Genomic DNA, 25,584 nt, shown 5'->3' with positions numbered 1-25,584 from the left:
TGTTCTTTGGAATTATGGTTAAATTGAATTTTTTTTTTCAATTTAGGACTGCTTATATGAAATGCAACTGCTGTGGGTTGTGGTTTATTTGAATCAATAAATGATGGAGCAAACATCATAGCCTTGATGCAAATTCTAATACAGTTACTCTGAAATAGCCAGGCAAAATTTGCAATGTTTCTTTTTCTTGACTCTAAATAGATCTAATCCATATGTCCTAAAGACAGACGTTTGTACCAAGGCATTCATGTGTGTGAGGACAACTATCTGCTATTAAAATTGAACGGCTAAGGGAATGCTGAGGTGCAGAAAAATCATCCCAAATAAATCAGCACTTAAAATTAGAAAAGATAATTAAGTTAGGAAGCTCAGACATGCGGTTTCAAAATACATCCATTTATAATTTGTAAAAAATGAATACTTCTGGGAAACTCTGATCGCTCTAACACACAGCAAAGAGGAGATAAAGGCACACCACTATGAAACTTTCAAACATTGATGAAATTAGCCTGCCTCGCTGATAGAGTAAGCTCTGTTCCTTACGCTATACCATATAAACTATAAAGAGAAACAAAACACAAATCATTAAAAAGCAGACTCGTACTTGTGGCTTTATGTTTTTGTAGTGATTGTTCTAGCACAAGAGGTCACATTAAAACCGTCATTTTCTTAAATATACAAGTACATTTTTAAAAACCTATATGTTAACTCTAAAGCCAAATAAGCCTTCAAATCTACTATTTCCTATAGCATTTCTACCATCTCTGAAATAAATTTCAAGCAAGTGAAGGTATTGTACATCATATAAAAGACAAATAAAAAAGGTTGAAACCTACCAATACTGGTAGCGGGTGTCATGCACAAAACTGACCCTGATGTCATGCAATGGTGGGTGGAAAAAGTGAATAAAGGGAAAGAAACAGGTTAGCGGTTTAGAGTTAACATTCAAAGTGAGATTGAAGCACAACCAGAAATAAGTAGGGTTAGTTAACACAGTCTTTTAGGGCCATTCACATTGTCAGTACAGACACAAATATATCTGACTTATTTTAAGCCAGTATTATTCCAAGCTCACTCCTTAGACCACTGTTCACACTTTCTATTCATATGCATCGACATGATTCTAATAAGAATGACATGTGATAATGCCGTGGTGTCCTTCCTCTAAGACCTCAAAGTATTTTACAGACATTATCAAGTTAATCCTCCAAGGTAGGAAGTAGGTATTTTACAGATGAAAAATCTGAGGCATAGTAACTCCTCCAAGGCCATGCATGGTGTGGGTCAAGGGGAAGGCTAGAAATAGAATTCTCTTCGTAAATCCAGGTCAACTTTTATATTCACTAGAATACACTGAACTTACTGCATTAAACGTTTACTTGTTTGTTTGACTGTAAATGTTTTGTGTCACCAACGGTATGAAAATAACAGTGTTTAAGATTTAAGATATTCTCCAAATCAGAAGCTTGCAGGGCAGGATGGGTGAATTTTAGATTGCTGCTTGAAAGCCCAATAACCTAAGAAGACTGAGGTTCTTACAGGGAATGACCTGTATGAGTACGTGGTCTTCTCTCTGTTGTAAGATTCATTATGATAAAGGAGTAGTGCCTGGCAATAAAGCTTAAACACTGTAGAGCAAAATAGTGCAGAGTTGGGGCTGAGTTAGGACCAGGGCTAAGGAATTTGGTCATGACTACTACAAAGTGATCCCTGAGGGGGATTTCTGGCAAAACTCCTAGGAAATCTCAAGTTGGCATCTGAGTGGGGAGGTAGGAGGTGGGAGGGGCAATTTCAACCCTTTCTTAGAAATAGCTGTCTTACTTGTGGTGGTCATAATAACATACACGCATCATGACTCTGACCATGAATATTATATTCAGGCATGTTGTGGAGAACTGAAAGAAAGCTGTATTGAAAGCTTTGAGGAATTATCTGCTACTGGTTCAGTTCCATGAAAAACAAGGTAATACATGGATTTAGATCACTGAAGACTGGGTGTCATGTAGGTGCCTGAGAAGTAGTTTCTCGTAAATGTAGGAGTGCCCTCTTAGAGTTTCAGAACTGACTTCTGAGATATTAGTTGGAGAATTTGAGATGTGTAGGTCTTTATTCTCTCTGTGGAGCTGTTCACGCTGGAGGGCGACTTTTTGCCTGAACTACATTTCGATCAAGCTAACATGACCTAGTCAGGAGGGGGCTATTTAACTGGGCTACTGCCAGATTCTTCAACAAATGTGTGCCAATACATCCAACTTAAACCTTTCTCCAGCCCTATTCTCTCATCTTCACAATCAAACTTCTGGAAATCTACCTACACATAAATGTTTACTTCCCTATCCCTACTGAGTCTTCATTCCTCTTCAATTTGGCTTTCATTTGACCTTTGCACTTAAATTGTGAATGCCAATCCACAGAAAAATCCCATATTGCTGCAGCCAGCAGGAACTCTCCTGTCCTCATCTCACTGTTCCTAATTCTCAGCAGCATTCAGCACTCCGCCCTTCCCTCCATCGGAAGCCACTTTCTTCCCTTAGATTTTTGATCACACACACACACACACACACACACACACACACACACACACACACAGTTTTTCTTTCTGGCAACTCCCTTTGTCTACTTTGCTGAACGATCTTCCTTCCCTCACCCTCTCTATGCTGGAGTTCCTCAGGACTCAGTCTTGGGTCCTTTTCATCTACGCTACATTTCCTGTGGTGTATCATTCACTTCATGGGTTTGGATTCCAGGAGCTTCCATGTTTGTGTATCCCACGCAGATCTCTTCTCAGAGTTCCAGGTCCTTTCCTCTAACTGCCCTCCTCACCTCTCTGCTTGGATGTCTCATAAGTGTCTCAAATGTAACAGGGACAAACTTTGATCTTTCTCACAGAAACTTTCTACACCTCGGTCTATGGCCATACTACCCTGAAGGCGCCAGATCTTGTCTGATCTCGGAAGCTAAGCAGGGTTGGGCCTGGTTAGTACTTGGATGGGAGAAACTTTCTACACCTCAGAAGATGCCTGATGGGCATCACCATCTAACTAGAACTCTAGACCGAACTGAAAGTTATGCCTCACACCCCTTCCCCTTGTGAACTTCCTGGGTCCAGCTGACCAATCAGCCAAAGCAATCCTGCTTCTAGCATGCAGCTTGCATTCATCTGTTCATCCATCACTACTGCCACATCTGAAGTCCTGGTCACTATTATCTCTAGGCTGGCTATGTGATAACATCCTAAGTGGTCTTCCTGCTTCCATTCTCGTCCCTCCTTAGTTCATTCTCCAGCTTCTGGCAGAGTAGATCTTTCCAAATGCAGGCCTGGCCACTCCTCTGCTGGAAACCATTCAGTGGTTTCTCATTGCTTTTAGGATAAAGGTCCCGTGTGGTCTAGTCTCTGACTACCTCCCCAGGCCATCTTACACCTCCCTGGCACCATGCTCCAGACAGATTAATTTTTCTTTTCTTTGAACTGAACACATTACACATTTGCCCTATTTTTGAACTTCCCACAAGCTGTCCCCTTGGCCTAGAATAATCTTCACCCCACTCTTTTCATCTTCCAGATCTCAGGGTATATGTCACTTCTTTAGAAAATGCTCAATTGTTATTTTACCTACCTCCCCATGCCATCAAGTCAGTTTCTATTTTTAATCTCACTGAACTCTACTTTTTCATTCATAGTACAGGTTGAGCATTCCAGGTCTGAAAATCCAAATCCAAAATGCTCTAAAATCCAAAACTTTTTGAGTGCTGACATACCCCTCAAAGAAAATCCTTCTTGGAGCATTTCAGATTTCAGATTTTCAAATATGGGATGCTCAACTGTTAATGTAATCCAAATATTCCAAAATCTGAAAAAAAAATCCAAAATCTGAAATATTTCTGGTCCCAAGCATTTTGGATCAAGGGGCACTCAACTTGTACTCATAAAAAAATGGCTGGGCACAGTGGCTCACGCCTGTAATCCCAGCACTTTGGGAGGCTGAGGTGGGTGGATCACAAGGTCAAGGAGATCAAGACCAGTCTGGCCAAGATGGTAAAATCCTGTCTCTACGAAAAATACAAAAAAAATTAGCCAGGTGTGATGGCAGACGCTTGTAACCCCAGCTACTTGGAAGGCTGAGGCAAGAGAACCTCTTGAACCCGGGAGGCGGAGGTTGCAGTGAGCCAAGATCATGCCACTGCACTCCAGCCTGGGTGACAGAGCGAGACTCTGTCTCAAAAAAAAAAAAAAAAAAAAAAAAAAAAATTACGCCTATAAAAATCCGCTCTTATTTTTCTTTCATTCCAGTGTGGAGGGGGGTGTCTTGGAGAGCTTTGCTGTGCCATGCATGTGAATATCATTGGGATTGCAAATAATCCACAGCTCCTGTAGCCACACTGGGCTAGGATCAGTCATGTTACTTTGGCTTCAGTCCTGGATGTGGCTGAAATCCTTAACCAAATTAATTCCATGAGCCTCTCTCTCTAAGTGGCCTAATAGTGATGTGATATTGGAAATGCATAACTTATGCATGTGTGGCTCCCTTAATGCCAGATTCTGGTCCTGATCTTCTTAGCAAGCCCCATCTCTGCCTTTGTACAACACTCCCATCCTCTACTCTCTGCATATACCCTGTATGTACTTCATGTTATAGCTACAATGGACAATTTTCTATTCTTCAAGTACACTCTTCCCATGTCCCAACTGGGATGCTTTTCCCCCACTGATAAAATCTTGCTTCTCTTCAAACTCCTAGGCAAATTTCTCCTACTTCAGAAAGTCTTGTTTCTCCATATCCTTCGTAACCACCACCTGGTGCACATGCTGAAGGCAGAATTCATTGTCTCCTCTCCTTCACTCTCGAATAGCTTTGCCCAGACCCTCAGGTACTCCTTCATCCTCTGTATAATATTTGGTTTTCACCTCTTTATGAACTCTTTTGTATTCTCATTACTGGCTCTGGAACCCAGAACATACCACGGGTTCAAGGTATGTTTTAATGAATTGAATGGAATAAATTTTGTTGTGCTTATGCAGATACAGATGCCACTAAACACTGATCAATCTTTCACCAAGTCATGTGATAATCTGATGTAACATTTACACGTTTCTCATAATTAGGCTGTATCTGGGCACTGTCCCCTGTTCTACTTATTCTGTACTTCCAGTATAATGAAATAAATCAAGGAAGGCTTCTGTGGGTTGCCTTTGTTCTGATCAGCTGAAGCACTTCACTAGGCACCAATTCTATGAACAAAGACTTCTCAAATGTTTTCTGCTTCAGTTGCACAAATATTTCAGCTGTCGTATCTGTGAGCCAGAATTATCTGGGTAGTTCCACTTTGCGGTGTAGACACAGCCTCAGTTTTTCCATCTGCAAAATGCAAATAACCGTGCCTGCCACTAACAGAACTGCAACATCTTGAAGAATAATGAGATAATGTCTATAAGAACACTTACAGTAACTTAGAATAAACCTGTCAGAGAAATGCCAAGAATTATTATGCTGCTATTTTTGTAAGTGTGTGTGGTTTTGCCACTTTCCTAACATAGAAAAGAAAAAGTCTAACTACTTGGTTAAAATAATCCCAATGAAAAAAGAAAAAAAAAGAAAACTCCCACCCATGGCAAATGTGCTAGGCCATCAAGCAGGGCAATAATTATCTTAGCATAGTTTGGGAGAAGACTCTCATATTTTGCATAAAATTTTATATTAATATCTTTGCAACCTGGAGGCAGAATTCCTAAAATCCAAATTCACATTGTGTCAATGGGAGAATTTTAGTATCATATCAAAAGCTTTAACTATGAATGGTTAAAACAAAAATGCTATTTTTGTTTCATATTTATGTTTACGTAAAACATTTATAGAAAAATCAAAATCTGTTCATTTAAAAGTAATGGGTCCTCTATGTACCAAGTTATAATAATTATTTTTGAACATCTTCACTTGATTTGCAGAGGTTTCAAACCAACAATGATGAACAATGATTGATTATTACCATTATCATTTTAGAAATAAAGTTGAAAATGGGTTTATAAGAAAGAAAATCAGAAGCAAAAACTTAAGCTAAAATGAACAATAAAATTCCTGGTATGGGTTTAAGCGGGAGAAAGATTATTTTAATTTCCTTTTAATAAAATTATTTTCTCTTTCCTCATTTAAGAGAAATGTGAAAATTCTTAGCAGTTGAAATACCATTTCAGAACACTAGATCCACATGCTTGTTCACTCTGATATTCATGTCATGTAAGAAATGGAAACCCTTCTAGTCACTGTATTGGTGCGCTAGGACCCACTTTTTGGCTTCCAAAGCCCACTGTATTGAGGGTTGCCAGACACACTTAAGCTGTTCTTAAAGAATCCACCAGAGGGCGGAAGTACACAACCACAGCAGCCAATGTAGCCGTATGGGTCCTTCATGAGATACATTTCATCAACAAAAATCAGGTCGTTGCGTAAGGGATGTTGTTTATCCTTGCTTTGGAAATGTTTATCCTTGCTTTAAAATGTTTAAAAGGTGAAACATTTTAAAGTGATGATTCTTTCAGTGATTTAACAAATCAGTCATTGTTGGGTTTGAGAGTTAAACATGTGCTGGAGGGCTTCAGATTCTTTTGGCAGGCTTAGCACCAGAGCTTCATAGGTATTCCCAGGACATGGTAATGGCAGTAACATCCATTCTTCAGAAACAGGCTTCTCCTTTTACGTTTTTCCCCTCAGTATATTCTTCCTTAATTTTTTTTTTTTTATCTTAAAATATCTAGTGGCCAAGAGGTCTACAATGACACACTTTGTAGAAACCACACAGGACATTAACGTAAGTTTACCTTCTAGTAATTATTTTACAAATGTGTTATTTCAATTAGATTACATATTAAGACACTGCTATGCTGTAACAGCACTGGGATGTCACTAATTAAGGCTGTAATAGGGCAAAAGTGAACTCCTAATAAATACTGAATTAGAGATTTCTTCTACAAGTCTGTGAGTTTAAGACAGGTTCAAAACTAAAATAAGAAAAAAACACTGAAAACCACTTTGCTCACATAATTTATATGTTAACTAAAATATGTATTGTTCACAGGTTACTAATCCATTTCAAAGTGTAGATTTTATACAAAGAATATCACAGAAATATTTTACCTCCCTCTGATGTTAACTCTGATAAGCTATGGGATTTAAGGAAATGGATAATAAGCTCGAAAAGTTCAAACTAATGGATTTGAATCAAAAAACTCTTTTTGTTAGAATTGTTATTCATTTATATTTACTTTCATTTCACTATCGTGGGCTGAAAAATGTTGACTTTCAAAGAACTCAATGGATGGTCTTCCCACCAGGACTTAAGTTACCCCTTGCTTCTAACATTGACTAAAAGGTGAAAAACATGGTCAATTATGGTGACTATCTTTGCGTATGGTGTGCGTGTGTGTGTCTGTGGTTAGAGATGTCGGTGCAAATGGGGGAGGGATGACATGATTTATACTTTTGTTTTTTTACTTTTATCTGACTTTTTGGGGTCAGTTATTTAAAAATTCACTTTTATCTGCTTTTTTCTTTTTTCAGGAGAACTCTGTGGAATGTGTATATATAGGCGGGCCCAGGTGGTAGAATGTGATGTAAATGGGTTTGGTCACAGGGAAACTCAGTTCTTTTTCTCATTAGTTGTGGCACCTTGGAAAGTCACTTCTCATTTAGGGGGCCTCAGTTTTCTCATCTGTAAAACAATCAGCTGGATGAGGAGATCACTAAGAGTCCTTTAAACTCTAAGATTCTATGACTATTACAATGGATCTTTTAGTGGAATCATAGTTAATGCACATCGTACGTAATAGTATCAGGCATTGGCTTAGACACTGAGGATAAGAGCTCTATATACTTGTGAACTTGGTGAAAGTTGAGAAGGATGGAGAAAGAGATAGAATGAATATAAAAATATGAGTAGAGAATTGCTTTAATTTGAATAGCCTCATTGTTTTAGTGCTCTGAATAGAAATAGAAAAAAATGGTTAGTATTTACTGGAATTGCTATTTTTAGGTCATTCAGAGTTAAGGACAAATTTCAATTGTCACACATAAAAGGTCTTATTTACATAAACAATTTTACAGGGCTTGTGCAAATACAAGAAACCAAAAGCCCTAACTGCTGTTTCTCATGGGTTAAATCTGTCTCTTCAATCTATCAAATATTTGGCTTTAGAATCCTAACAGTCTTTAGCTATCATTCAAAGTAAGGTAAATACATTTAGATAGCTAGGACAACGATGAATTTCAAACTGTATTATACCTTCAAAAGCAAACTAGATGCCACCAAACAGCTTAGAGAAATGAGAAGAAAGCACATGACCAGAAGGGCACAGGACGTAGGGCAGTAAGGGCACATACCTGTTGGAATGAACGCGGCGTGTTGCTGCAACTGTGCGCTGGTGAGAGCCTGCTGGTAGTGCAAGACGCTGGGGTTAAAGACCGCGCTGGTACCATTGCTTTTTTCAAGTGCTTGTCTCTTTGGTAAAGGATGAAGAGCACCAGGGGGAAAGGCCTAGAAATGAAGAATTCGATAAGATATGTCTAACTTAAAGCAAACACACCTTCCATGTTCACAGAGATCATCAATTGCAACATTCTTTTTAAAAATGACAGCTAAGGAGATGCCTCTGCCATGCACCTTAATTTAAACAGCGGCAATGTCGAATGAGTGAGAATTTGTTATTGAGAGCGAAAGCATGATTTCTGTAACCCAAAACGGTAGCATCTCAACTAAGGAAAAGAAAAACTATCAAGCAACAACAACAAAAAAAATGGCTTCAGCTTTTAAAATGAGTTAAACTATTCTAAGGGGGGACGAAGCATTGGTGTTATTATTAATACCTATTCTTTTCTTTAACTAAATGGCAATTTCTTGAATTTAAAGGTTAATACGAATTATAATGAACATTTTCTGAGTCAAATAATTTAAATTTGCTTCACTCTTTTGGAAAAGGTATTAAAATTTGTTAGGATTAATTTATTTCACAGATTACATATGAGAATGAGATGGCTAAACACCTTATTGGATTTTTTCCATAAATTAATAATAATGATTGTTTGCAACCAGTATTTTACAAGTAATACAAATCTCAGATGGTTCTCTGAAAAGCTACATGCAAAGCGAAAGGTGAAAGGTCAAAGTACCAGGTCTACAGTTGCTTCGAGAGGTCGCTTCATTGCTTTGGCAGTCGACTGAGTCTTTTAATAACAGGCAGCGAGCACATGATGGCAGTGGGCCAATGGGATTCAAGCGAATTAACATACAGGTAAACAGCAAGCAGAGGTGCATCATGGGAACGGCATTGCATTGTGGATAGGTGAGAAGGAAAAAAATATTCTGAATGCAATATACAACGTACAAAACACTAGGCATGCACAACAACAAAAATGTTCTCTAAAGAAATGAATATTACACCTTAAATTAGTATTGAAGCAAAAATGCATCTACTATACCTTAGTTAAAAGCATATAAGAGAGTAAAATATAGATGTTTGAAATTCAGGAAAGTTAATTAAAACAGCAGCTTGCATACACACCATAAGCATTTTTTATATTGCTTCAGAAAAAAAAATGCAAAATTTGTAAGGGCCATAGGATCGAAGAACTTCTGATAAGTTAGTTTTCAAATATGAAATAATGAGTCCATCGAGTAAGGATATGACCCAAGTTGAAATTTTTCATAAAAATAATTTAAAATTCATAGCTGGCCTAACAAAATGAAGTGGCGAACTGAGACAAAAAATTCAGGCAAAAAAATATTCAAACACAAGATTATTTAGGCGAAACTGTTGGGTTTGGATCTTTATTTTTTGTCTGAATCATGTGGATAATTGTCTCAATTCTTGTCTTCACTCTGCTAGTGCGAGTCTTGTAATGTGGACTAAAGTTCCAAATTTAGTGCCTTGAATTTAAATAGTGAGTTTCCAGAATTCCCCACTTGTATTCCATCATCTTGTTTCTAACAACCAACTTATCATCCATTCTGTTTTCTACTACATTTGAAATGTTCATTTCATTTATCTCAAAAAACTTACCGGATTATACTAAGAAAATAACCTTTAAAAGGTATGTAGTGTCCCCAGCTATCAAAATAATTTCTATTTAGTAATTCTATTTGTACTTTTAGCTACAATCAGTGAGCAACCCCATTAATGAAAAGTGGAACTCTTGGAAAGAACAAATACAACAGCTAAAAATAGCAAACAGCTAAAAATAATAGCAAAGAACTGCTTGAAAGATTAGAAGTAAAATACTATCTTTAACTTTGAACCATAATTTTGGGAAGACAGTTTCATTTAAACAACTGAAATAAAAACAAATATGGATTGATTTAGACCACAATGAAAAATTTTCCTATTCTTTGTTAATTGTTGTAAAAAAAAAACTAAAAATTCTATGATGGAATTCTTTGCAAATAAAATAATTCAAAGGAATTGCTCCAATGCAAATAAAAAATGAAATACCCTTTTCTATGCTTAGCACAATAGGTAAGTCCCTAAGGTTTCTCTAATAAATACAAATATTATATTCTAAAGTTCTGAAATAGAACTTTGTCATTTGACATGAGACAGTACTAAACCTTTAAAATGGGAAACAGTTAATGACATTTTCCTGGATAAATAAAGGATGTTTATTATTGTTTTATAATTCAGGATAAAAAGTATGGAGATAATAGGGGATAAGGGGAGAGCTATGGAGGGGAAGAGACTAGAAATCAAGTAGAAAGGACTACAGGCAGAGAAGAGATTTAGAACGGCCAATGGAGAAGAAAATGTTTGGGAAGGTAGTTTTGATCGGAGTCATCGAATAACATGAAATCAATGTTGTGAAAGTACAATTGTGAACGTTAAAAACAATGAGCTGACAAAACATCTGTGTACTGGATATTCTTTCCTTGCATGTAACTTTGACATCATGTAACTTCCATAATGCCATTTTTGTTTCGAATCTTCCATCCTTGCACAGCTTTGCATTGTTAAGTAGTGCAGGGTTTTCTTTTGTTTTGTTTTTTGAGCTTCAATTAATCTGCATCAGCTAAAGAAGGTTACAAAGCCTATTCTCATAGAGCACATTGAGAACATGAACTGGATCGTTAAACTCAAAATCATTTTGGCCTTAACTTTCTGGACTCAATTTTTCCCCTTCCCATTTGCAGTCCTAAGTATTTACAGAATGAATCCACTAATGGGTTGATCTTTTCTGACATGTTAACTAGATGAGCGATTATGTCTCTAAAGGCTGATATTCATGAACAAAATTTTGACTTAACAAAGAATCATTTAATGAAATCTCCAAGTACAATGAAAAATAATAAATATTTCCCTTTAGGATTGTCACCTGGAAGGTTAATATTCTTCTTCTTCCTGTCTTAGTGTGATGAAACTTAATTTCCATAGAATTTAGAATAATCTAGGAATGTAAAAAAACTGAGATCTCTAGAGTGAGCAGGACAGTGACGTGTATCTCTTTCTACCACTCTGTGGTGGGAGTTTTCTTTATTAGAGGCAGATCTCTCCTTTTAAAGTAAACACTGAGGTCTTGGAGGGCGGGGTGTGCATATTAACATGTTGTTCATCTCGCATTGTGAAGCAGGTATGTGTAGAATGTATTTTAAAAATCCATGTGGATGAATAATCATGTTATAATGTAGCATTTTCATATACAGATGCTCAGTTTTTGGTGATTTTGACTGCTGCATATGTTTACCTACATTGAAAGATCTTCAGGCTTAGAACAGATCTCACAGGTCACCAAGCCTAGTGTATCCTAAGATCCTCCTTAAGCACCAAGACAGGTAATTGAGCCCTCACTATGTATCAGCCACTTGGAAATCCATCTGACTGGCCTCACCAACATTCTGAGGCTTTGCTTCTCTGGGCCTCTCCAGCTTGGTGTGCATGAGTGATGAGTCAGAAGAGGTCCTATGGGCAGCTAGGCTTTTTTTTTTTTTTTTTGGATTGAGGACCAATTCACCTGCAAATCAAGGTAATCGAACCAAGTGCCTACATCAGACATGATAGGCAAAGACCAGATCTGAGGGGTCAGAAAACACTGACAACAATGATCAGAGCTACCACTTTAAAGTAGGAAAGAAGGTAGACAAGCAGGATGCCAATCAAAGTTCCTGTACAGACTTTCCTGAACAATCGAAACGTATCTAGCTGACGGCAGCTTGTCTTGTTTCCTTTTGCAAAATGGTTCTTTCCTTGTGTCATTCCATTTTGATGTATGTGAGCAAAGATTGCTTGTATGAAGATCAGACACCTTTTGTGTTAACACTACCAAAGAAAAGTTCTGTCTGTCTTATTCTCATGTTTAAAAAATTCTGGTGATGGTGATGGTTATGTTTTAAGAAGTACTTAAAAGAATAAGACTCCAAAGGAAATAAATGTCTTTTATTCTGGAGTCAAAGCTTTCCATTCCTTTTAAGGATCTAATGAATCAAAATAAGCAGGAAATCTCCAGACAATAATAAAAATTTCACCCTGGAAATGCTTGGGGTTTCTATATGGAAGTCAGGCGAATGGAATATTAATATCTTCTAACTCTATTCATCACTCCTGTTTGTCCTTTTAAATAAGGAAATAAAGTAATAGTTTTTCTTCTGTGTACTGAGTAATTTTGCTATTAGAGTAGCAATACTTTGACTTTATCCAACAGCACCTAGGCTGGTTTCAAATGAGCCTCTCACTTCAACTAAAAACACATGACAGATTCAGTAATTTTCATGTCATTGTCAGAAAGAACCTGGCTTTTGTTCTGAAACTACATTCCTTTGGGTTGTCTTTGACAATGCTGCAAGATCCTCTGACTTATCAGAACTCCAAATTTGGGCACAGTGTAACAATCCAAGAAACTATGGTAACTAACACTGTTGGCATCCACTGCAATAATCTTTATGCAGCTTGATGAATGTAACCATGAATGTAATGTGAAAATGTGTAGAAGGGTACACAGAAGAGTACAGCTTTGACTTGAAGAAATGCAGCAGGGAAATGACCTGTTTGTGTAAATGGCCATTTTCCCTCTTATCCCCATCAGCCCAGGTCATCTACCACTGATATATACTAGGTGTATTGTTCCTTTAATGACTGAAGTATATATTGGTTGCAGATGTTAAAACTGGTCCATTGAGGAAACAGGCAGATGAAATCAGGGCTCAGCCCTAAGGTCACTATTAGTACTTTGATATGTTGTGTTAATAAGTACAGGCATAGGTTGTTTTATTGCACTTTGTTGTATGGTACTTTGCAGATACTTCAGTTTTTTAAAATTGAAGGTTTGTGGCAACCCTATGTTGAGTCTATCAGAGTCATTTTTCCAACAGCATGTGCTAACTTTGTGTCTTTGTCACATTTTGGTAATTCTCACAATATTTTAAAATTTATTGTTATTATATCTCTCATGATGATTTGTGATCAGTGATGTTTGATGTACTATTTTAATTGTTTTGGGGCACCATGAACCATGCCACAAACTTAATCGATAAACGTCATGCCTGGTCTGACTGCTGCACTCACTGGCTATCACCCCTCTCTCTCCTTCCTCAGGCCTCCCTATTCCCTGAGACAAAATTATATTGAAATTAGGCCAATTAATAACTTTAAATGGCCTCTAAGTGTTCAAGTGAAAGAAAGAGTCACAGATTATTACTTAAAATCAAAAGCTAGAAATGATTAAGCTTAGTGAGGAAGGCATGTCGAAAGCCAAGATAGGCTAAAAGCTAGGCTTCCTGTGCCAAGGTTATCCATGTTGTGACTGCAAAGGGAAAGTTCTTGAAGGAAATTAAAAGTGCTACTCCAGTGAACATACAAATGATAAGAAAGCAAAACAGCCTTATTGCCAGTGTGGGAAAAATTTTATTGGGCTGGACAGATCTAACCAGCCACAGCATTCCCTTAAGCCAATGCCTACCTTATTTATTTATTTATTATTTATTTATTTATTTATTTATTTATATTTTTATTTTTCTGAGACAGTCTCACTCTGTGACCCAGGCTAGAGTGCAGTGGCATGACCTCAGTTTACTGCAACCTCTGCCTTCCAAGGTTCAAGCGATTCTCATGCCTCAGCTCTTCGAGTAGCTGGAATTATAGCGTGCACCACCATGCCCAGCTAATTTTTGTATTTTTAGTAGAGACGGGGTTTCACCATGTTGGCCAGGCTGGTCTCAAACTCCTGGCTTCCAGTGATCCACCCACCTCTGCCCCGCAAAGTGCTGGGATTATAGGCATGAGCTACCACGCTGGCCGAAAACCTAATTTAGAGCAAGGTCCTGACTCTCCTCAATTCTATGAAGGCTGAAAGGAGACAGGAAGCTACAAAAGAAAAGTTGGAAGCTAGCAGAGATTGGTTCACAAGGTTGAAGAAAAGAAGCCATCTCCATAACATAAAAGAGCATGGTGAGCAGCAAGGGCTGATGGAGAAGCAGCAGCAAGTTATTCAGAAGATCTAGCTAAGATCACTGATGAAGGTGGCCACAGTAAACAACAGATGTCAACGTAGACAAGCCAGATATTGGAAGATGTCAACTAGGACTTTCAGAGCTACAGAGGAGGACTAGCTTCAAACCTTCAAAGTACAGCAGCTGACTCTTGCTAGAAGCTAATGCAGCTGGTGAATTTAAATTGAAGCCAATGCTCATTTACCATTCTGAAAATTCTAGGGCCCTTATGAATTATGCTAAATCTACTCTGCCTATGCTCTAGAAATGAAACAACAAAGCCTGGATGACAGTATATGTATTTACAACATGGTTTACTGAATGTTTTAAGCCCACAGTTGAGACCTACTGCTCAGAAAAAAAGATTTGTTTCAAAATATTACTGCTCATTGACAATGCACCTGATCACCCAAGGGCTCCAGTGGAGATGTACAAGGAGATTAATGTTGTTTTCATGCATGCTAACACAACAGCTGTTCTGCAGCCCATGGATCAAGGAGTTATTTCAACTATCAAGTCTTATTAATCGAGAAATACATTTTGTAAGGCTGTAGCTGCCACAGATAGTGATTCCTCTGATGAAGCTGGGCAAAGTAAATTGAAAACCTGTAAAGGATTCACCATTCTAGATGCCATTAAGAATATTCATGATTCATGGAAGATCAAAATATCAACATGAACAGGAGTTTGGAAGAAGTTAATTCCAATCCTCATGGATGACTTTGAGGGGTTCAAGACTTAAATGGAAAAAGTAAGTAACTCCAGATGTAATGGAAATAGCAAGAGAACTAGAATTCTTAATAGAAGTCGAGCCTGAAGATGTGACTGAATTGCTGCAATTTCATGATAAAACTTTAATGGTTGAGGAGTCGCTTTATGGAGCAGCAAAGAAAGTAGTTTCTTGAGATGGGTTCTACTCTTGGCTAAGATGCTCTGAACATTGTTGAAATGATACCAAAGGATTTAGCAAACTATATAAACTTAGTTGATAAAGTAGCAGCAGGGTTTTAGAGGACTGTCTCCCATTTTGAAAGAAGTTCTACTCTGAGCAAAATGCTATCAAATAACATTGCAGGCTACAGAGAAATCTTTCATAAAAGGAAGAGTCAATCAATGTGGCAATGTTCATTGTGTTTTAAGAAATTGTATTTTTAAGAAATTACCACAGCCATCACAACTTTCACCAGTCACCACCCTAATCAGTCACCAGCCATCAACATCGAGGCAAGACCTTCCACCAGCAAAAAGATACGACTCACTAAAAGCTCTGACTATTGGTTAGCATCTTTTAAGCAACATTTTAAAATTAAGGTGTGTATATATTCTTCAGACATAATGTTCTTGCACATTTAATAGACCACAGTGTAGTGTAAACATAACTTTTATATGCACTGGGAAACCAAAAAATTCATGTGATTTGTTCTATTGTGATACTCGCTTCATTGCAGTGGTCTGGAACTGAACTTTTACTTGAAGGACTAATATTTCCATTATCAGGGCCTCATTCCATACCTCAGTGACCAAGGATAGCCACTGGGACCCAGGCTGAGTCAATCACAGCATCCTGTCACTGACCACAGGGACAGCCACCAAAATGACCTTTAACTTCTTCCCCTGCCCCAATACCTAATTAGAGCTGGTATAAAAGACACCATTCTCTCTCTTGTCAAAAGATGTAAGAATACATCCCTATAGAGGTCCAAAGCCTTGGTCCTGGGTCTTGTAGAGAAGCTGACCTTAGAGAATGGTGTGGCCATAGTAAGAGAAGCAGGCAGGGGAAAGAAGAGAGTGACCTGTTGGTTCTGAAGTTTCTGAACCCAGGCGTTCCTGAGTCCATCTCTACTAAAAATATAAAATTAGCTAGACATGGTGGCATGCACCTGTGGTCCCAGCTCCTCGGGAGGCTGGCGCATAAGAATCACTTGAACCTGGGAGGCGGAGGCTCCAGTGAGCCAAGATCGCACCACTGCACTCCAACCTGGGTGACTGACAGAGCAAGACTCTGTCTCAAAAAACAAATAAATAAACAAATTTTGTGGAAAAATGTGTTCTTAGTGCCCATCAATCAACACACCAATTAGGATAAGTTGGAGCTGGCCTAAAATAATGATTACAATGAAAAAAAAATTTGCTTCCTATGGGATGAGATCCTCACCAGGTTGATAGTAGAATGGATGTCGCATTGGCAAAATGTGTAAAAGATCTCATTTGTGCTCTGAAAGAATTCCTTTTTTATCAGCCTTAAGTGATCAGTTTACTCTCCTCCTCCCATTCCCAATTATAATGAGTTTCGGAAACTACTCTTTTACTAGAAGAAAAAAAGGGAGAATTTCTCTATTTTATTGACCCTCTTGTGTGGATACATACATCTCCACATATATAGGAATTCACACTCAGCAAAATAAAAAAATATTAGGTCCAATAACATATGAATGAGAAGGACGAGAGGAAAGGACACTAAAGGGACAAGAAAAGGACTCAGAGATTAAACAAAAACAAAAACAGTGATTTAGATGACGAGGCCAGTGCTCAAGGTGTATGGAAATAAGCAGCTCAAATTGGAAAGGTCTCTAGAACCACACACTCCGCACCTGGTGGTGATTACCTCAGGGCAGATGGTGCCTTTCTCGCTGTATCCCTATCACTGATCACAGGTCCATGCCTTAATAAACATTTGCGCAAACAATGTTGAGTAATTGTGAACTTGTTTGTGTGACAGCTACCCTTCCATTTTAATCAGTAATCAGTGTATGAGGTGATGGCTGAGGTGATGGCTGCTAACTAGAACAAAGTGTTTTCAAACTGTACTTTTCATCTCTGCAGTCATAGCTCTCCTTCTTGAGGGAGGACTGGCCACTGAGTCCTTCATGCCCTCTGGACCCGATTAACTATTTCTATCATGTCACTGAGGAGCATGTTATTGCTCTCAGTTACTAACTCCAAACTCCTTGAGGGCAAGGAAACCTGACTGATTTATTTATTCTACCCAGCAAGTGCCTGATGCATGGTCTCATAAAATTTTTTGAAAGAATGAATGCATAGTGCCTATCACATATTAACATAGACTTCTGATAAGCCAGAGAGCTCACATGAAAACAAATTAATTAGAAACTTCTGCAACCTAATGCAGAAGTTCTCAAGCTTTGCGATGCATTGGAATCACCTGGGAGCTTTTAAAAACTGCCACTGTCGCCAGGTATGGTAGCTCGCACCTGTAATCCCAACACATTGGGAGGTAAAGGTGTGAGAATTGCTTGATCCCAGGAGTTTTGAGACTAGCCTGGACAACATGGTGAGACCCTGTCTCTACAAAAAAAATTAGAACTTAGATGGGCATGTTCCCAGCTACTCAGGAGGCTGAGGTGGGAGGATCACTTGAGCCCAGGAGTTTAAAGCTACAGTGACCCATGATCATTCCACTGCACTCCAGCCTGGGTGACAGAGACCTTGTCTTAAAAAAAAAAAAAAAAAAAAAATCCCACTGCCCAGACCACACCAGACCAACTAAATAAGAAAATAAGAAACTTCAGGGAAAGGGACAGATGTCAGGTCAGACCCTTCAGGTTGTTCCAAAATGTAGCCAAGTTTGATAAGCAATGTCTAGGCAGGTGCTTCTCAAATGTTAATGTGCATACAAAACACCTGGGAGATGTTTTACAACTTAAATTCTGATTCCCTGAGGTCTGGGGTGAGGCTGAGGATTCTGGAGGCTCCACAGGCTTCTAGGTGATCCTAATAATGGTGCATCTGGTCTCTAAGGGACAGTTAGGCTCTCCGAGATTCTGAGCAGGCTCCCAGGCGATGATAATGATGATGTACTGCTGGTCTCTAATGACAGTAGGGTGACTCAGGGAAGCAAGCCTAGGTCACAGGTCTTTTTTTCTTTCTGCACCAGCCAGGATGGCTCCACTTTCATCTGTTTCATGCATTGCTATTCTGCATAAAACCTCATTGAGATGGGGAATCTGACCAGCATTGCCCTTGTAATAAGTGAAAGAAGAGGAGAAAATGGGAGTAGCGAAAAGCCAAATCACTCTCTGGGCTTCTCTTAGGCCACAGATGTCCTCCGTGGCTGCTCCAAGGAGCTGGGTGCCTCCTCGTGCTCAGGTGCAGAAATGCACCTTTCTTTCCCCTCTCCGAAGCGGTGCCCACCTTCATGTTCATTACAAGGCCCCTGAGCCTCTCTTAAAAAGACCCTAAGTGAGCACACTCAATCTCCGCCACCCTAGGAGGGGGAACGGAGCTCAGGGACCCCAGGACTTTCCCTGCACCTGAGGGATTTACTTATTGTGCTGAAGGGGGGCAGGAGGGGAAAACAAAACAAAACAAAAAGGGGGAAAACAACAGCAAAACTTAGGCAGCGGAGCAGCAGGAATAGCAGCCTTCCATGTTTCCCGAGTGTTTGGAAGAACATCCAAGTCCCAGCCCGGAGCGGCCTCCGCAGAGGCGCCGGGGTGCAGGGGCGGCGGGCGGCCGCACTTACCATGACTGTGGCCGCGGCCGCGGCTGCCTGGGCGGCCACCGCAGCTTGGTTGGCTTGGTGCTGCGCAGCTTTGATTTTGGCCTGCAAGTGTGCAGGAGGGTGAAAATATTTGCATTTCTCCCTCATGCAACGCCCCTTTATGTAATCCATACAAACGGTTACGGTGTTGTCACTTGTGTCGATCATGGTGCTGTCTGCGGGGTGTGCAAAGCGGCAGTCGGTCTCTCCCCGGGCACAGTTTCCTCGCTGGAACTCCCTGCATACCTAAGACAGGGAAGAAGAGCCGCGCTGCAGAGGCAAGCCTGAGCCCAGGCGCCCCTGCGGCCCCGGCCACCGCGGGAGGAGCGGAGGCTGCCTCGCTTTCAATGGTGGCTCATGTACCACTGACAAGAAAAGATTGATTATGCGGAGCCCAGGTAACCACAATCTCTGACACAGTCATTTGAGTTTTGTTTTACCGCCTTTTCTAGGGTGAAAATCTATATTGAGAAAATAATACGAAATCTGCAGTTCAGCTAAAATAACAAAGGAAAAGCAACAAGGCCTCCATTGTCCCTGGGTAGCATATTATGCAGCTGTCTATCGATCTGTCTGTCTGTCTATCCATCCATCCATATATCTATCATCTATCTATTTATCCATGCATCCATTCCTTCATCTATCATCTACCATCAATCAATCTATCCAATCATCTATCCACCTGTTCATTCATCCATCATCTATTATCTATCATCTATCAATCTATCCCTCTATTATCTATTATCCATCTATCTATCCATCCACCCATCCATCTATCCATCCATCCATCCATCCATCCATCCATCTATTATCTGTTAATCTATCATTATTTTTAATGGTAAAAACTGCAATTACTTTTGCACCAACCTAATATTATCTATCATCTATCTACCTACCTACCATCTATCTATCCGTCCATCCAGCCAGCCATTCATTCATCCATCTATCATCTATCCATCCAGCCATCCATCATCTATCATCTACTGATCTATCTAAAATCTATCAATTAATTAATCATCTATCTAATCTAGTTACCTACCTATCTATATACCTGCTTACCTACCTATAATCTATCTATTTAATCTGTCAATCACCTATAATCTATCTACCTCTCTCTATATCTTCAATCACCTACTTGTATGACAATTCTGACAATGCTATAGGTTTTTTTTTGTGTGTGTGGAGGGATAATTTCACCTATATCAAGCTACCAGGTCATAGCTGTACAAAAAGAATCAGAGAAAATGACGACAAACTTGTTCCTCCTCTCTCTAAGGGGGTGGGGTGGGGTGGGGTGGGGGGAATCTGAACACTCCTGTTTCCCACTCCTTCTCTCCTGCTCTACAAAGATAACATAATCATAAATCAGAAGAACAATATCTAAGACACCAAAATTTTCATTTTTAAGGTCACTATACTATTTTTGACAGCACAGAAAAGAAAAAAAAGACAAAAGGAGAGAAATACGGCAAGAGATATAGAGAAAGAAAAATGGAGGGAAATAGTTTATTTTAAAAATTCTTTAATGCTAAATTATCCTGAAATCTCAAGTAACTAGGATTCTCTATCCCCTGAGAATTCTGGTGGATCAAGATTTTACTGTATGAAAAAATATTTCTTTAGAATTTGAAGAGTATTCTTAATTATGCCCTGCATATAGATAACATAAAATAGCATAAATAACATATGCATGTTGCTTATATAATTCTTCTCTGCTCATAAATATTAGCAGGAAATAATTATGAGTAGAATCGTAAGTTATTTATTTTTAGGCTCCAATTCCAAAGTGGATATGTAAATGATCATCACGCTGATCATTAGTGATGTTATATGAAGGGCCCCTGACATGAAATTCAAGTATTGTGGAAGTCAGACATACTTAGGAAATACTGTTTCACTGACCAGTGACCAGGCCAGCTTGAAGGTAGATAGCATAAATCACCAGATTGTTAATTGTTTCCTCCTACTTTGGATATTAGCCAACATTCTAACTTTAGTTCATAAAATGCGCAAAATAAATCACTAAGATGTTCCCACGGATTCTGAGCAAGCCTTCCTCCATCAATGGAATGACTTCTGTCTGATAGCATCATAGGTGTGGACCAGCCATCAGGCTCCTACCAAGGTGCTTTGTGTGCAGCTGACTTCATTCCTGGTTTGAAATGAACCAAAAGCCGCTCTGCTAAAATCATTGTGATTCATTTTTACATGTCTTTGTCTACCAGCCCTGTTGAGAAGGACAATTTGTTCCCAATTCCACTGATTTAATTTGTTTTCTAAAGTACAGTCACATACTGAACACAAAAGCTCCGTGGGTCCAGCAGGTGGAGCCCAAAACACTTTTCCAGTCCTGTGAAAGGTCTATTCAGTAATTGACAAGGGTAGGCTGGATCTTTTCAAAATAGTAACAATTAGAGTTTCCATTCTCTTCATCTGGGCATCCAGATTGAAACTAAGTGAAAAAATAAATATCTTCTAAAATATTTGCAGTTTGAAATTCTGAGTTTTAAAACTTGCACAGGTTATTAGGCAGCCACATTTTATTGCCTTCAAGGTTTATTGGGTTAATATTTAAACAAATGCACATTGAAAGAACATTCTCTAATAATCCCACTAACAGAAAGCACTGTGTACGTCCTAACCAGATGCATCACCTAACACCTTTAATCAGTAATGGAATTAAAGGAGCTCTCTGAAAAATCTATGAGAATCTTTATACACCCTTATGAAATGCTGTAGTGAATATCATAGGGATATAGCAGTAAGATACATAGATGAGTTCTACAGCTCTGATTAAAGAGAAATTTTACCCAACAAAGTACAGGAGGTTTGGTTTGATTCATAACTTAAGAACGATGTTTTTTATATATAGGAACTTGTTTTCTTGAATGTTATAGAACAATTGAAGTTAAAGAAAATATCTCAATTAATAACTAAATTTACGGGCTGGGCGCGGTGGCTCACGCCTGTAATCCCAGCACTTTGGGAGGCCGAGGCTGGCGGATCACCTGAGGTTGGGAGTTCGAGACCAGCCTGACCAACATGGAGAAACCCTGTCTCTACTAAAAATACAAAATTGGCCAGGCGTGGTGGCGCATGCCTATAATCCCAGCTACTTGGGAGGCTGAGGCAGGAGAATCACTTGAACCCGGGCAGAGGAGGTTGTGGTGAGCCAAGATTGCACCATTGCACTCCAGCCTGGGCAACAAGAGCGAAACTACGTCTCAAAACCAAACCAAACAAAACAAAAAACTAAATTTACTCATCCTCCAATTTCCCCTGTTTAGCAACAACACAATCAGAACTAATATGCCAGAACACACTAGAGCAGCCATGCTTGTTCTTGAGACATTGAAATATGATCATACCAATTGGTAAATAGTTGTAGTCCCACTTACTCCCACCAGTGTCCCTGAGTGTCCTCGGCTGCCCTGGTTGCTGGGCTCCTGATCCACCAGTTTCCAGAACTTTCCAGGGTCTTGCAAGGATTACACCTTGACATGAGGAGGCCTTCAGGACCTGGAGCCATCTCTATGGGCTGCATCATGATTGAGTCACTGTTCCATTGATTGTTTAATATTTTTCCCTTAAACGCATATTCCATGCAGCTGATTTTTGTGTTAAAACTAGTCTTTTCCATAGACTAATTTCCTTTATACTTGGCCTTAACTTCAAACCACAGAGTTATGAATACATGGGTTTTAGGTGAGTTTGTGTGTGTGTGTTTACATGGCTGTTTTGCAAGACTGAATTAATATCTTACAAGCAATCACTTACACAGAAGTATATTTCTACCACAAATGCATGTCAAAACACAAGTAGAATTGAAGTACCTCCAGTTTGTCAGTCCTGAGAAGTTTCTGAGTTGCAGTTGAGCCCGGGACAGTGACCGGTGGACTTCCGGGAACAATAACAGGCGTGGTGGGCAGAATTTCCGTTGGGACCAACCCAACTCCAGGGGTTACAGGTGCTAGGTAAGGAGCAAAGCTAATAGCCGTATTTGTCCCTATCGCGGGACCTACAGGGAAAGTGGGCTGTTAAAGGAAGACAACACAGGAGAAAGAGTTATTTAGAATAAAACTTTAAAAAATTACCAGCAAATGTCATTTGAGCAAAATGTATTCATCATATACTCTGTGTTAATTGTATAGCTCAATGCTGACCTATAATAAAAATGACATCCATGTAGACCCTCTCTTCCCCAAACCATACAGAAATATGAGAGAACATCATAAAAAACCTCTAGTTACAGGAACTAGATTAAGCTTTTGTCCCTATGAAAGTGTTCTCAACAAAAGAAAATAATTTCAACTCTAATTACTCAACATTCCAAACTATTAAATGTTATAACACTAAGGTAGTAAAAGCTATAGAATACTGACTAATAATCTTTGATTTATTCTACATGTTTCTCAAAGGGAGAGGAGTCACAAAACCCTTTGATTACAGCCTGATTTTCAAGTTGGCCAAGTCTATGCATTCTCAAACAGTGGGGTTACTTGGAATTTTATTTTGTCCAGACTCACCAGTATGTTTCCGTATTCCATCACTAGCATGTATATTCCCAAAATTCAAATGTAGTTTTCAAATAAACCTACGATTTTTTGCTGTAGTTCAACTACATCTAGATCCAGTCAGTCTTCCCTTCCTGAAAGGTTTTCTGGAAGAGCTTTTTAATCAAACAATATTGTGATTGGCCATTAAAAGTTGGTTTGGTTTCCTAGGTCACAAAATCAACACAGCAGTGACAAGAGCATACAGAATCTTATTAAATTTGTTCTCTGTCCCTATATTCCTCATCTAGGAATAAGAAGAAATATGCTAGTGGGTTGAGGTGATGATTATTTTTAAAAGCTCCACCTAATAATATGTAAATAATTCTGCCTTTTAGAAAGTAAATAATGTACATTTAAGAGAACAAACCTTGTTAAGTAATTTAAAATTCTAAAGATTTTTCTTAGAATAAATTGTACACCAAATTGGACCTGAATGCTTCTTTTCATTTGTTTGGTTGGTTGTTAATTATAGATGATTTTTAACCTATTTGATTTCAATTTGCAATTACATATTAATGCAGTCTTTTAACACTGAACTTAACTGTTGCTTGTCACACTTTTAACATTGAACTATGCTGTGTCATGCTTGTTCTCTGTTTCTACATTGTGGGTGACATTCTTCTTGTCTATTTATGACCCTGGATGGATTATTTAACATATGGGAAAAATGACAACCTATGTTTAATAAACATACTTTTTCTTTATAGCAGTAACAGAAAAATATCTCTTATGAAAAGTCATTATAGAAAAGAGTAAATTATTGATAGTTTGTGCAGGCAGTTATCAGACAGGCAGGAAAGCCTATTTTCAAAGTGGCTAGAAGGGGTGGTTCTAATGGTCTTAGAGGGGTCCTGGCTCAGTACTCCCACAAGATGCTGTTAGATCTCTATGGCTCAGACGTAAAATCCACTTTGGGAGAAAGTTGCAATATGAGGTCTGAATGTGGGAAATAGATGGCAGTTAGAATTTTTTTCTTCCTCTACTGTCAACAAATGTTTATATGTGTATGTTACTCACTGAGTCATAATTATAGAAAGTTATGATTTTCAGTAACTGTAGCTTTTATAATTTAGTACTACTGGAGAAAAAGCCAAGTGATTTAAATGGTTTACGGACTATGTAATGTTAGGATTTTTAAAAAGAATCAATTCTGAAAGGTCATAAATCACAGCACATCAGTGATTCAGTGGACTAGCTCTGTCAGAAATGCCTGGGGGAGATTTTACAAATAGTGATTAAATTCTGACCCAGTAGATCTAGGCTGAGACCTTGATACTTGAATTTTAGAAATTTTACTAAATGATCTGATGCATGGCCAAATTTGGGGAGCATTGTCATATGTGAGGAGTAAAAATAGTATTAAAAAACTTGCACTAAATGTGTAATTTAACCCAGAGACTATCAACGTAAACATTTAGATAAAAGAGCCCTCCCCCATACTGCCATTTTTATTTTCTCTGGAAGCAAATTCTCAACCCTCCCAGCCCACAGATCATTTGATGCTAGATCATTTGAAGCTAGGGTTAGTGTGGTACCATAAATACGGGTTGTACTTTGCTTTGTCGATAGGATTGAGAACCTCAAAACTCATTTCCCAAAACCATTTTGGATATCGACAAATCTATTCCAATTAGGTAACTTTTGTCTTCAAAAATATATGTCACTTGTTCATCTGATTTCATAGTCTAAAATCAATGTCCCAGTATGTTTTATTGATGATGGCAATAACACAGTTCACAGAGAAATAGTAATATTTTAAAGTAAAACCATAGATTTTAGACTCAGAGAGGCCTGAATTCAAACCTAGCACTCTGACACTTACTACTCATTAACCTGGGGAGGAAATTAACCTCCCTGGGCTTTAATTTTCTTATCTGCAATGAGTAAGTGAAACTACTTAGCTGAAAGGGTTGGGCAGAACAAGGCGCTATTGCACTCCCATTTCCCATGGTCAGAACTCAGTAAAAAGCAGCTCTCATTAATACTGTAAAAATCAATGTCCATCAAGGTTTTTTTGGCCTCAAATTATCTAACAGTTCTGCAACAGGGATGTAATGAGCATAGCAGTAT

At 38.7% G+C, this 25,584-nt stretch overlaps 1 protein-coding gene and 1 pseudogene across 55 annotated transcripts in view, besides 1 other annotated feature; one reads left to right on the top strand and one right to left on the bottom strand.

Annotated features, from left to right (window-relative positions):
* MBNL2 (muscleblind like splicing regulator 2) overlaps positions 1-25,584 on the bottom strand; it is a 252,287-nt gene that overhangs the window by 28,113 nt on the left and 198,590 nt on the right. For 20 of the 55 annotated variants that reach the window (NM_001382675.1, NM_001382656.1, XM_047430011.1 and 17 more), the window contains 3 exons: positions 22,792-22,992; positions 18,941-19,204; positions 8,373-8,526 (listed from right to left, as the gene is read on the bottom strand). In NM_001382675.1, coding sequence (NP_001369604.1) covers positions 8,373-8,526; positions 18,941-19,204; positions 22,792-22,992 — 619 coding nt within the window. Of the gene's footprint in view, positions 1-836; positions 873-8,372; positions 8,527-9,158; positions 9,213-18,940; positions 19,205-22,791; positions 22,993-25,584 lie in introns of all 55 variants that reach the window. The other 35 variants (NM_001382649.1, XM_047430009.1, XM_047430007.1 and 32 more) reach the window with 9 other exon arrangements.
* RNA5SP37 (RNA, 5S ribosomal pseudogene 37) lies at positions 2,907-3,036 on the top strand (annotated as a pseudogene).
* Positions 6,219-6,288: a silencer, noted in NCBI's record as "silent region_5450". NCBI's record gives its function as "represses an Ori minimal core promoter by ATAC-STARR-seq in GM12878 lymphoblastoid cells {active_cell/tissue: GM12878}" and the evidence as "EXISTENCE:reporter gene assay evidence [ECO:0000049][PMID:35858748]".

The sequence above is a fragment of the Homo sapiens genome, chromosome 13 (assembly GCF_000001405.40).
Source record: "Homo sapiens chromosome 13, GRCh38.p14 Primary Assembly".
Classification (NCBI taxonomy): domain Eukaryota; kingdom Metazoa; phylum Chordata; class Mammalia; order Primates; family Hominidae; genus Homo; species Homo sapiens.
This window is presented reverse-complemented; position numbering and strand designations above follow the sequence as displayed.